Source organism: Homo sapiens, chromosome 3 (assembly GCF_000001405.40).
Source record: "Homo sapiens chromosome 3, GRCh38.p14 Primary Assembly".
NCBI lineage: Eukaryota > Metazoa > Chordata > Mammalia > Primates > Hominidae > Homo > Homo sapiens.
In genome coordinates this window covers 23,828,133-23,841,964 of record NC_000003.12, presented here as the reverse complement: position 1 = coordinate 23,841,964, position 13,832 = coordinate 23,828,133, and the positions used below count along the sequence as shown (strand labels likewise).

At 38.6% G+C, this 13,832-nt stretch overlaps 1 protein-coding gene across 4 annotated transcripts in view, besides 3 other annotated features; it reads right to left on the bottom strand.

Moving 5' to 3' along the window:
* The window catches only part of UBE2E1 (ubiquitin conjugating enzyme E2 E1), an 85,686-nt gene that overhangs the window by 49,676 nt on the left and 22,178 nt on the right, over positions 1-13,832 (bottom strand). The gene's annotated exons all lie outside the window — the stretch shown is intronic.
* Positions 10,427-10,476: an enhancer, noted in NCBI's record as "active region_19604". NCBI's record gives its function as "activates an Ori minimal core promoter by ATAC-STARR-seq in GM12878 lymphoblastoid cells {active_cell/tissue: GM12878}" and the evidence as "EXISTENCE:reporter gene assay evidence [ECO:0000049][PMID:35858748]".
* Positions 10,997-11,206: an enhancer, noted in NCBI's record as "active region_19603". NCBI's record gives its function as "activates an Ori minimal core promoter by ATAC-STARR-seq in GM12878 lymphoblastoid cells {active_cell/tissue: GM12878}" and the evidence as "EXISTENCE:reporter gene assay evidence [ECO:0000049][PMID:35858748]".
* Positions 12,126-12,555: an enhancer, noted in NCBI's record as "active region_19602". NCBI's record gives its function as "activates an Ori minimal core promoter by ATAC-STARR-seq in GM12878 lymphoblastoid cells {active_cell/tissue: GM12878}" and the evidence as "EXISTENCE:reporter gene assay evidence [ECO:0000049][PMID:35858748]".

Sequence of the window (13,832 nt, the reverse complement as noted above, 5' to 3'; positions counted from 1 at the left end):
CCCTCTAACAGCAGTCAGCCACTCAACACTCACCTAGAATACCTTCATCTCTCTCCTAATAGAACTCTAAACCATCTACCCCCAAACATACGTCCACAAAACAAAAAGATCTAGGAGAGTCATATAAAAACTGTGACTGTCAGCTGCATGTGACTTTTTCACTCACCAACCCATTGGATTTCAAATTTCTGTGTCAGAATAATACAGTACAATACTGAATTCAAAGGTAATAGTCATGTGGGATTGTTTTTGTTTTGGTTAATGGTGGCTACAAATGTGGCTCCAGAATCCTAGAACTGTGAATGGCATGATACATGAAAAAGTATGAGAGATGAATGCATGATATTTATATTTTCTCCCTATTAGACAGAAAACATTTTATCTGCAAATCCAACAGAATTCATGGAAAGTAGAAATGCAATCTCTAACAATGCGGCCATTACAAGTCCAACTCTAATCAACACATATAATATAAATATTCTTGTGGTATGGCTTGACCTTTAATCGTATTAGAATTAATACGTGCTCAAAGCACATCTAATTCTGAGTAAGAAGAGTAGAGAGACAGAAAAAAATCAATCATCTATTCTTAAAAAAAAAACCCTAAAACAATTAAAAATTCTAATGACACAGTTCAGCTGATATGGCCAGAAACAGTATCAGTCTCTAAATGCCAAGATGAATTTTAAATAAAATCTAACTCTTACCCATTTATAGCAGATAAAATTGAAACATAGCCATTTAAGACGAGCTTAATTTTTTTCCTCGCTCATGATGTAAAGAATCCAATAACTCTTTATATCTTTTCAATCTTTTCAAACAGTTCACCCGCATCTCTAAAAGTAAATAATATCATTATAGATGTATAAAAGCTGAAACAGCATGAAAGTATTGTTTTCTAACGACTAATCTTTATTTACAAAAAGTATCATGGGCTGTAAAGTCACTTCAGCTTCTAACCAAGATGGTATATCAGATACTAAATCTGCCCTACCACTTAAACAACAAAAAAACTGACAAAATATATAAAACAGCAGTTTCCATACACTGGACATCAGGTAGTGCAAGGCAGTGATCTCTGAGAAAGGAAAACTAAATATATTGAGACCTACAATCGCCTGTGGTGCAGGAAGGAATAACCTAAGTGGTCAGAGTTCACAAGTACCAGAGCTGCACAGAGACAGAACTCCGGAGATCTGTAGAGGGTCCCGTCAAGTATTTACCTAAGCATGAATTAGCACATGCATGAGAGGACACTACGCAATGCCAGGGAAAGAATCACCAGAGAACAGAGAGAACACTCCCCAGAGCTCGCACAGGGCTGAGAATAGTTTGCATTGCCATTAGTCAGAAAGAAAAAGACCCTGGTAACTTATGGGCCATCCAGCAGAATACTCAGAATGGTGATGCCTCAGTGAATGGTAAAAATTAGCCTTAATAGCTGTTCTGGTCACTCTCAAAAGCAGGCTTCAAAAGGAGGCCTTAAAAGCTTAAAAGCAGGCCTCAAAAGGATCAGACTAAGTTCCAACTTAACTGCACCTTACGACAAAGCTCAAGAATATTTTTAAGAATACAAAAAGGCAGCACTCAAAAAGGCAAAATTCACAATGTTTGGTATCCAACAAAAAATTATCACGCATGTGCAGGGGCTTGAAAATATAAGGTAAAAAACCAATCAATAGAAACTGATCCAGAAATGACCCAGATAATGAAATTAGTGGACAAAAAGACAGTAAACGCTTGTTATAACTGTAATCATAAATTTAAAATGATAAATACCTGACCATGGTAAGTGGACTCATAGAAATTATAAAAAGATCCAAATCAAACTTCCAGATATGAAGAAATACAACAACTGAGATTAAACATATACTGAAATTAACAGCATGTTAGACTATGCAAAGGAAAAATAAGAAACTTGAAGTCAGCCATAAAAATTATTCAAATGAAACACAGAAAACAAACTTTCTTTCCAAATATGATGAAACTATAAGCTCATAGAGCCAAGAAACTGAACAAACACCAAGCACAAGAAATACAAAAAATAAAAAAACTACATCAAAAGGTATATCATAATCTAACTGTGTAAAACCAGTGATAAAGAGTAATTCTTAAAAGTAGCCAGACAAAAAGATGACACATTATATGGAGAAACAAACTAAGGATTACAGAGTTCTCACTGGAAACAATGCAAGTCAGAAGACAGTTACATAGCATCTTTAAGTAAAAAACAAAACTGTCAGCCTAAAATCCTATATCCAACAGGAACATTTCCAAAAAAAAAGACAAAGATTTTTTTCAGACATAATAAAACAAAGAATTTGTCACCAGCAGACCTGACTGCAAGAAATGTTAAAGGAAGTCTCTCAGGCAGAAGGAGATGTCAGTGAGTGAATATCTGAAACTATACAAAGAAAAAAAGAACACCAGAAATGGTAATAAATGTGTGGAAAATATAAAATTTTAAATTATTATTATTATTATTATTATTTTCTTTTTTTGAGACAGACTCTCTCTCTGTTGCCAAGGCTGGAGTACAGTGGAGTGATCTTGGCTCACTGCAACCTCTGCCTCTTGGGTTCAAGTGATTCTCCTACCTCAGCCTCCCAAGTAGCTGAGACTACATGCGCATGTCACCATGCCCGGCTAATTTTTTTGTATTTTTAGTAGAGACAGGGTTTCACCGTGTTAGCCAGGATGGTCTCGATCTCCTGACCTCGTGATCCACCCGCCTCAGCCTCCCAAAGTGCTGGGATTACAGGCATGAGCCACCGCACCCGGCTAAATTATTTTTTAAATCTCTTAAAAGATAATGTTTAAAGCAAAAATAGTAACAATATATTTTGGGGTTTATAACATGCAGAATAAAATATATGACAATAACAGCACTAATGCTGGGAGAGGGATTGTTGAGGGGTCGCTGTGGGTGAAGGGGTATAATTATCACGTGAACGTAGTCTGTGATAAGCTAAAGATGTATTCTATAAAGATGTATTCTAAAGCAACCACTAAAAAACAAACAAAAAAAGTTATAGCTGGTAATACAGAAGAGAAATTAATTAATATAGTATCATTAAAAAAAAAAAAACTCAACCCAAAAGCAAGCATGAAAAAAGGAAATACAAATAGGATAAATTGAAAATTAATTTAAATCTAATTATATCAGGCCTGGCACGGTAGTGGCTCACACCTGTAATCCCGGCACTCTGGGAGGCCGAGGCAGGCAGATCCCTTCAGCTCAGGAGTTTGCGAACAGCCTGGCCAACATGGTGAAACTCCATTTCTACTAAAAATACAAAATTTAGCCAGGAGTGCTGGTGCATGCCTGTAATCCCAGCTACTTAGGAGGCTGAGGCAGGAGAAATCTCCTGAACCCTGCAGGGCGGAGGTTGCAGTGAGCTGAGATCAGGCCACTGCACTCCGGCCTGGGTGACAGGGTAAGACTCCATCTCAAAAAATAAAAATAAATAAATAAATCCAATCATGTCAACAATAACATTAAATGTTAATGGTCTAACCATTCCAATTTAAAAGCAAAGATTGTCAGATTGGAAAAACAAGCAAGTCCCAATTATATGCTGTTTAAAAGAAACCGCTAGTCCAGGCATGGTGGTTCATGCCTGTAATCCCAGCACTTTGGAAGGCCTAGGAGGGAGGATCACTTGAGCCCAGAAGTTCAAGACTAGCTTGGGCAACATGGCGAAACATTTTCTACCAAGAAGTTCAAAAATTAACCAGGTGTGGTGGCTCACGTTTATAGTCCCAGCTACTTAGGAGGCTGAGGTAGGAGGATTACTTGAGCCCGGGAGGCTGAGACTGCAGTAGGCTGTAATTGTGCCACTGCACTATAGCCTGGGCAACAGAACAAGACCTTGTCTCAAAAAAAAATAAAATAAATAATAAAAATAAAGAAAATAAACCCCTATTATATATTTTTAAAGTCCTGTACCAGCTATCACTTATTAGATACTAACCAATGAAAAGAACTTCTTTGCAGAGCCTTAAAAGTATCAACCTGTTTTAATAAGCAATGCAGATTAGTGGACAAGCAGAAAGAAAAGGGAAATTCCCAACAGCATGGTCAAGATTTCTAATTCTCAGTTCTCCATATTACCTGTCTACCTTCTATTGAAAGTTTGTAGTATTTAATTTTCCACATGCCAAAAGTTCCTCAAAAGATTGAAGGTGGTAAAAACGCTGCTTCTCAAACAAAACTTTCTTACTCAAACCAGGTGTAGGCTAGTCCTCTAAAAAACAAAACACCAAAACCAATCAGCCAACCAAAGAAAAACTATCTCCAACGCTTTATAAAATGCAGCAAGGAGCTAGTAATTTTTAAAACATATCACATAATATATCACAAATCCTCTGAATTTCAAATTGGAATCAGCCAATGGCTAAAAATAAAAACACATAGCAAGTTGGACTGGGATGGTGCAGGCAACAGTCCCAAAATTCAGTCCCTCCTCTCTGCAGAAGAAAGCAAATGTATCACTAAATAGCTTACAGTTAACACATTACTATCTTTTTGAGACACCAGTATCCTGGGGATACTTACAGTTTTGAGAGCTTCTCAAGTATTAGTGCTGGGTTTGGAACACACTCCCTGGCTCAGGTCCTAAATCTAAACAGAGCACTCAGACTCCTGTATTTTAATTCTGGCTCCCAAACTTTCTAGCTTTATGATCACAGGCAAGTTACTTAACTTTTTTATGTTTCAACTTCCTCACCTGTATAACTGAGGTGAAAATAATAGTATAACTTTTTTGTTAGTGTTAGTGCTTACTGTGAGCCAGGCACTGTTCCAAGTGCTTTATATACATTTCTAAATCCTAAAAACTCTATGAGGTAGGCATTATTATCCCTATCTTACAGATAAGGAAACAGAGTAGAGATTTATGTTCCTTCCCCAAATTACATAGCTATTATGTGAGAGCTAGGATTTTAACTCAGTCTGGCTCCAGAACCTGCCATGTTACTCAATATGCCAAACAAGTTAACAAGCCACAGATTTCCCAAATTGCCCATCTTTTCATGATAGACCATAAACTACTTAACAAGAGCTTTATCTTCTTCATCATGAGTGATGCCACCATCTAGCACAAAGAGAACATAAACTAGATCAATCATAGTGTGCAGAATGAATAGATTCCTGGGCATGATTCTGTCTGTCATATGTCATTTACTTTCACATGCCCCTGAGGGACACGGTAGAGAGTGTACAATGGTTAAGAATCAGAAGACCCATGTTCTATCCCAACCATACCAGTCCTCAGCTGAGCCATTTTAGGAAAGTCACCTCACTTCCCTAGATCTGAGTGTGTTCATTTGTAAAATGAGGAACTGAACTAGATCTAAGTTCCCTTTCAGCTCTAAAACTTCCAAGAAAAGCCAATGTCACTCTTTTGGAAAAAGAACAAAAGAGCTGCCTCACTGAAATACCTTGCAGTTTTCAGAGGAACACACACATCTCTTCTATTGCTTACTTAAAATCCCTTACTCCCCTAGACTAAGGGCTCCAACAGAGTCTGGACCTAGTCTCTCCTGTTTATGTCTTCCCCAGTACAGCACATGGCATGTGGAAGACATCTGATGTTTAATGAGTAAATACATTATAGGTGAAAACTTGTGAGGACTAAGTGAAAAGAGAAACTCTTTTTTTATATAGCATTCTAAATCAGTTATTTCCTAAATTCATGAATGGATGGCTAATTTTACTAGCTGGATATTCATTTTAGATATTCCTATTAACTTTAGTTATAAAAACTCTCTTGTAAAGATTTATTCACAAGGCTTTTTAAAATGCTTTAACTTCTTGCTGTTTCAATGTATTTCATCTATATCCTAAACAGTTCTTGTTCCAAATGTCCTATTTAACAGAAAAATCGTAATCTTAACATCAACAGCAAAAGCTCAAAACATTTTTTCTGAAATATATATCTTATCTGTGCCATAAACTAGATCATAAAAGCAGCAGCTGAAAAGAAGTTATTAGAAATAGCTTAAAACTCACAGGAAACAGATGCTAACTTTCCCTCCCTGCCTCCCCCTTTCCTAATGCCTTTAAATATAAAGCTATTACGTGTTGAAATGAACCTTTTATTTTGAGGATTATTTATGTAGATTATCCAGAGAAATTTAATGCAGTCTCAATTCACCAGAATTTTTCAAACAATAATCTGCAAATTGATACAGGTAAACCGTGAGATTTAACTTCTAATGTCTAAAAAAAGGGGGGAGGAGGGGAGTTTCTAAAATTGATTCACTTTTTATTTTGAATAATTGATGATTATATGTCATAAAAGCCTGGAAATTACCAGAGGTACACTGTATGCAAATTTTAAAACGTATACATTACTTTAAAAGTATACATTACTTCCTTGGTTCTTACCCTTGGCTTCTGAGTTTTGTTTTAATGCAGGTGTGGGAACCTCCCCTAGAGATGATTCCAATAGGATGGGGCCCTGGTGTGACTGTTTTTTGTTCTGGTTTTTGTTTTGAGGCAGGTCTTGTTCTGTGGCTCAGGCTGGAGTGTACTGGCATGATCCTAGCTCACTTAGCCTCGACCTCCTGGGCTCAAGTGATCTTCCCACCTCAGCCTCCTGAGTAGCTAGGACCACAGGTGCGCACCAGCACATCTAGCTAATTTTTAAATTTTTTGTAGACAGGATCTTGCTATACTGCCCAGGCTGCTCTTAAACTCCTGGGCTCAAGCAATCCTCCTGCCTCAACCTCCCAAAGTGCTGAGATTACAAGCATGAGCCACCCAACCTGGCCTGCATTTTTTTAAAACATTACATGTAACTGAGATAGCAGCCAAGGTTGAGAACTACTTCATTAAACATTTAACAGTTAATGCTAGACTGCTTCAAGTAGGTGATCAGGTTAACTCAATATGTAAAACCTAAAAATGTTAAAATATTGTACAATTAGTCCCGTATTTTTTTTTCTATGCTCTTATTCTCCATTTTAAACATTATCAATTTGAGCAGTGATTCCTCACATTGCTTTTTATGCATTACAGGGAATACCACAAGTCTTAAAACATAATTCAGTATGAATTCATTTTAGTTTTAAATTTCCTCCAAAGTGATTTCTTTCATTACATTAATATTTTAAGTTAAAAAATTTATAAAACAAAACTGTAAGAAAAAACATCAGCCAATTTCTAATCTCAAAGAGCTTTCCTAGTATTAAAAAGAGCAGTGTAAGTTTTTTTTTCCTTTTTTATTTTTAGAGACGGGGTCTCGCTCTGTCATCCAGGAAGGAGTGCAGTGATGCAATCACAGCCCACTGCAGCCTCAAACTCCTGGGGTCAAGAAATCCTCCCATCTCAGCTCCCCAAAGCACTAAGATTACAGGCTTGAACCATGGCACCTGGCCTTTTTTTCATTTTTTAAATAAAAAGCTGCCAGGAGCAGCTAGCAGTGCTGTTCAGGGAAAAGAACTTGGAAAAAGCACAGGAGGAAGGAAGGTTAGAAGCAAACACAGAAAAGCTACAGAGTAATGGGACATGCTACAGAGGTTATGTGAGAAAGATGGGGGAATTTTAAGTGGGCAAGTAGAACAATTAGACATATTTTAGAAAAATCACCCTAAATGGTGACAAACATTTGTCCTCTGAAGGAGAATTTGATGGGGGTTATTAGCTCTGATTTATAGATGAGAAAATAAAGCTGCTAGAGGTTAAATGATCTGCCCAAGATTATAGTGCCATCAAGAGGCAGAGTTAAGATTTGAACTCAATGGTGAGACTCAAAACCAAGCTTTTATTACAGCAAAGAAAACTGTATGACTATCACAAATGAGCTGTAAAAGGCCTTGTCCAAAGACACTTCAAAAAATGTTTTAAATAATGGACCAAGAGTTAACCTCTTGAAGTTTTATTTTATTTCTTTTTATTTATTTTTTACCATAAGGCTTTTTTGCACTGTTGAAATTTTCTGATACAAAACTTCTGGCATCTTTTTATTTTTATTTTTTTTTGAGACAGGGCTGGAGTGCAGTGGTACAAACACGGCTGACTGCAGCGTCAACCTGTCGGGCTCAAGTGATCCTCCCACCTCAGCCTCTCGAGTAGCTGGGACTACAGGCACATGCCACCATGCCCAGCTAATTTCCTAAATTTTCTGTAGAGATAGGGTCTCGCTGTGTTGCTCAGGTTTGTCTTGAACTTCTAGCCCCAAGAAATCCTTCTGCCTTGGCCTCCCAAAGCGATGGGATTACAGGCATAAGCCATCACGCCCAGCCACTTTTGGCATCTTAAATAAACCTCATTTCTTCACAGTCATGCCTATAATTTTCTTTACATAGACAACAACATTTGCTGTAAAATATAAGAAATTATCTTCTCTCTAGCTTTGCTAACATTACCATTGCTTTCCGACATCTTGTTCATCTGCATTTAATACTCTGTTTAACTACTGCTATGACATGGCTTTCAGACTCTCATGTGGCGTTCTGAATCAGTGTTTATTTGTATCTTCCAACCTGACTCTATTAATATTCTAAAAATAGGGAAAAACAATTTATCTAAAATAATAAAACTAATTCATTAATGTAGCACCTTCCAAAGGTGCCTAGGAAACAAATGCTTCCCTAGTGGGAAGGTCTATTAAATTCTTAATTTTAAATATATGACTATCAAATAGTTCACTGTCAAGAAAGGCACATACCATATACCAATCATTTTTTAAGGTTAGGAACAAGCAACACAAAACTCATATTTTAAAAATAAAAAATATCTCCATTTTATACTCTACTGAGAGGTACGTTATGGAAAATAAAAGGAAGTGCTAAGAGACAAATATATGGAGACTGAGGAAAAATGGGAGAAAAGGGACAAAAATTGAAAAATTGACCAAAAGGTATGGTGTTATATAGTTAAAATTAACTTGAATACTTTATATTTTTCTTTTTCTCCCACTTTTTGAGACAGGGTCTCACTTTGTCGCCCAGGCTGGAGTACAATGGCACAAACACAGCTCACTGCAGCATCAATCTCCTGGGCTCAAGCAATCTTCCTGCCTCAGCCTCCCAAGTACATGGGATGACAGGCACACCACCACACCTGGATTATTTTTTAAAATTTGTTTTGTAGAGATGGGGGTTTCACCATGTTGCTCAGACTGGTCTCAAACTCCTGGGCTCAAGCAATCCACCCGCCTTAGCTAACCAAAGTGCTGAGATTACAGGTGTGAGTCACCACATCCCTGTATTTTTCTTTTTTTGAGACAAAGTCTCGCTCTGTTGTCCAGGCTGGAGCGCAGTGGCAAGATCTTGGCTCACTGTAACCTTCGCCTCCCGGCTTCAAGCGATTCTCTCTCAGCTCACTGCAACCTCTACCCACTGAGTTCAAGCGATTCTCTCTCGGCTGACTGCAACCTCCACCTCCCGGGTTCAAGCGATTCTCCTGCCTCAGCCTCCTGAGTAGCTGGGATTACAGGTGCCCACCACCACGCCTGGCTAATTTTTGTACTTTTAGTAGAGATGGGGTTTTGCCATGGTGACCAGGCTGGTCTCAAACTCCCGAGCTCAGGTGATCTGCCCACCTCGGCCTCCCAAAGTGCTGGGATTACAGGCGTGAGCCACTGCGCCCAGCCCCCCACACCTCTATATTTTTCTTTACAGGTCTCCTCCCTCCAGGAAAAACACAGTCCCTTCTCCTTTATTAAAAATGTATATTCTCTTCCAACAGGTCAACTATTTGTGTCCAAGCCATTCCCTGGACAATGATCAGAAACTGAATTCTGTTTTTATTTCCCTTTCAGGAAAATCATTCATTTGCTCCTTCATTCATTCACAGCAAAAGTTTGAGCAGTTACTGTTTTCTAAACCCTGTGCTAGATGGCTGACATGATCCATATGCTCACAGAGCTTAAAGTATTGAACAAACTCAAAAAGCCAATTATTAAAGCTAAATAAATGACTAAGTTTTCTTCCTTTAGAAAAAAGTATTTGGCTGGGCATGGTAGCTCATGTCTGTAACCTCAGCACTTTGGGAGGCGGAGGCGGAGGCAGGCGAATCACCTGAGCTCAGTCAGGCATTCAAGACCAGTCTGGCCAACATGGTGAAACCCTGCCTCTACAAAAAATACAAAAATTATCCAGGCATAGTGGCGGGCACCTGTAATTCCAGCATTTGGGAGGCTGAGGCAGGAGAATGGCTTGAACCTGGAAGGCAGAGGTTGCACTGAGCTGAGATCGCACCACTGCATTCCAGCCTGGGCAACAGAGTGAGACTCTGTCTCACAGAAAAAAAAAAAAAGAAATACAAAACTTAGCTGGGTGTGGTAGCACGTGCCTGTAGTCCTAGCTACTTAGGAGGCTAAGGTGGGAGGGGATCACCTGAGCCTGGGACATCAAGGCTGCAGTGAGCTGTGATCACACCACTGCACTCCAGCCTGGGCAACAGAGTGGGACCATGTCTCGAAAAAAAAAAAAAAAGTATTCATTTTGTTAAATATTTTGTCAAACTAGCTCCCAATATTAGTGTCATCTGGACCCTTTCACTTTAATTACCAAAATAGCTGACTGATCCAAAACTCAATCAAGTTAGACTAACTGGTCCCTCGCCCAAGAGTTTTACAACTGGCCAAAAGTAAGTTTCTCTCTGGGTGCCTGTGGTCATGTTCTTCAGGCAGGCTGTGGGCAGCCAGGAGCAATCTGCGATGTGAGAAAAAATAAAGCGCACTTGGAGTGAGAGCATAGATGAGAGTTGGAGAGAATTCCTGGTTTCTGTTGTTTCTGATATCCAGAACATTTCAGTTCCTGGGTTATCAGACACACACTCAAATATCCCTATAATATTATCTTTTTATTTAAATGAATTAATTAGACTGCTGTTACCTGCAACATAAAGAGTCTTAGCTAATAACAAAAGTGGTATCAGAATGACTAATTCTCTCCAAAGTACAGTGGTTGAGTATCGGCCCTGAAGCCAGATCACGTGGGTTCTTCTGGCTTCTCCACTTACTAAGCTGCACATAACCTTAATGTTGATTTCATAATCTGTAAAATGGGATTACATGACCACCAACAGGAATGGTTTAAGTTTTAAATGAGTTTCTAATGTTCAAAGTCCTTAGAACAAAACTTGACCCACAGTTAAGACCGCAACAGAAGTTAGCTATCACCACCACCTCCAAGGGGGATCTAAATTCTACGATATACTGATTTGCTGATGTTTCAATGAGACCACTCATCTGGCTTGACACATTCCCTACTGTACACATGATACACAGAGAGCATTGACAAGGCCACTCTTAAACAGGGACAGTTTCCACATCCAGGTGAATCAAGAAGAGTAATAAGGTAAGGAAGAGAGAAAAAGCAGTGGCTGGATTCTCCACAGCTCCAAGCATCACACTGTTCTCTCATAAGGAGCTTCTACACAACCAAAACCCCAAACCTGCCCCCACCCCAATATTGAGTCACACTGCTCTTCCTTTGATGCTGTTGGTTCTATAAGCCTGAAGATTTTTATGCATTTTTGGATCCAACAGATGACTTCAGCTTGCCAAAAACAAACAAAAACAAAAACAAAAAAATGAACCCACTCCCGACTGGTATAACTCTTAAAATCCTTTATTATTTGTGATTTTTATTTTTGTGTGTGATGGGGGTAGGGCAAGAGATGAAGGCTGCTGACCTTTGTGAACCCTAAATCTATTTATAATACATATTGACTAAGACTCCCTCTATCCACTCCATGCTCTTGTCAGGGGATATTATAAAGGGCTCAGAATAAATTAAACACCATCCTGAAAGGCTACTTAACTAGAAGCAAGCATGGCCCAGAGATCAAGCACATGCATGTAAGAATTAGAGGAGCCTAAAGAACCAGGAAGTAGTTAAAAAGAAAAAAGGAAAAATAATATATGCATGATTTTTCCAAAGATATTTTCTTGACAAAGTATCTTTTAAATTATTCTAGAACCAAAATTCCAGGTGTAGCTAGCTAGGTAATAAGAAGGAGTGGAGGGAAGGGGGAGGAAGGGAAACATGTGGCATACCCATATCCTGACAATGCCAGGGTTTCTCTACAGAAATTCCGAAATAGCAGCAAACTCCTCAAGAACCCAGGCCAACAGAGCCAATCAATCCATGCTTATCAACTCACAAATTTGCTGAAGGCTTTCTCCTTTTATCTGCTTCTCTTTCAGACATCTCTTATTTATAGAAAGTAGTGAGCTAAGCCTGAGGGGAAAACCAAAGTCCCCATTTCTAACCGCTCTTCTAGACCCCTTTCCTTTCTCAGTTCCTCTTTCCTTTCTCCTTCTCTTATTAGCTCGACCTCAACCTTTTCCTTGGACTCCCTAAATCTGTAAACTTTCCCACTTCAGCACTTTTCCAGGAGAGGGGCAGGTATGGGGGCTCAGGCTACTGGTAAACCCCGTGCTTTGGGAGGTTGAGGCAGAAGGACTGCTTGAGACCAGGAGTTTGAGACTAGCCCAGGCAACACAGCAAGACCCCACCTCTCCAAAAAAATTTAGAAAACAGCTGGGTCTGGGTGTGGTGATTCACACCTGTAATCCCAGCACTTTGGGAGGCTGAGGCAGGAGGATCATCTGAGCTTAGGAGTTCCAGACCAGCCTGGGCAACATAGTGAGATCCTGTCTCTATTAAAAAAAAAAAAAAAGCTGGACTTTGTGGAGTGCACCTGTTGTCCCAGCTACTTAGGAGGCTGAGGTGGGAGGATCGCTTGACCCCAGGAGTTCAAGGCTGCAGTGAGCTATGATCACACCATTGCATTCCAGCCTAGGCAACAAAGCGAGGCCCTCTCTTTTTTTTTTTTTTTTGAGGCCCTGTCTCAAAATAATAATAATAATAATCCTCCATCTTATCAAAAATAAGAACTTATTTTCAAGAATCAAAGAAAAAAATAAAAAATACAAGACGGAGAAACTGCCCCTTCTGCAACTGCCACCCCCCTCTAGCTACAGCTTGTCAGAACCACTGGAGGGCTTTTATTTTTCACCCCAAATTTGCTAATCTCTCCTTCCATCCACCCTGTCCACTGAAAGTAAACCCCTGTTACTTATTGATGGACATTTTCCCTCTTCCTTAGGTGTGCTGGGACAGGCACAAGCCTGGAAATCACCAGACTAGAGTGTGAGACAAATCTGAGGAAAACACTGAAATCACATAAGGTTTAGATGAAATTGAACTATGATAAAAATTATAAACAAATTTACATCTTAGGTCATTAACGAACCTTTATATAATGTCTTGTTCAGTAGCTATGTAACGTTTATTTTATATTGAAAGCATCTATCACACTTTTGTATCTCCAGATGATCTAATTCAGTGCTATGCACACACAGACACCCATAAATGCTCAGTTTGTAATTTGAGTCAAATAAAATTTTTCAAGTCTTCTGTTCTGATGGTGACTCTAATGTTTTATTGCAAAAGTAACTTCTATCTATATGCATCAACTCCAACGCCTTTACCAGCAACTGCTTCGATTAGCACTGGTAAATATCCAAATAATGATCCCATTTTCTCATAGATTTAAATACCTAACTTTTTAATCACTAAGTATACTGTGTATCTTCTCAAAAATTAAACCTATATTTAAAATGTTATATTACATTTACATACAATATAGAAATTGATCTTTTTACACAATGGAAGATTAAAACACTGTATTTATGATTTCATTGCTTCAGCCTACATGTTTCTGTGATTGATGGTAACATCTAAATGAAGTAACTGGTAACATTTATACAACTACTACTAAATGCTGTATTTTAATTTGTTTCAGTAATCATTCATACTTTTTAGGCATCTTCTGGTGTTAGGTACAAGAAATAAAAATAATCATATTT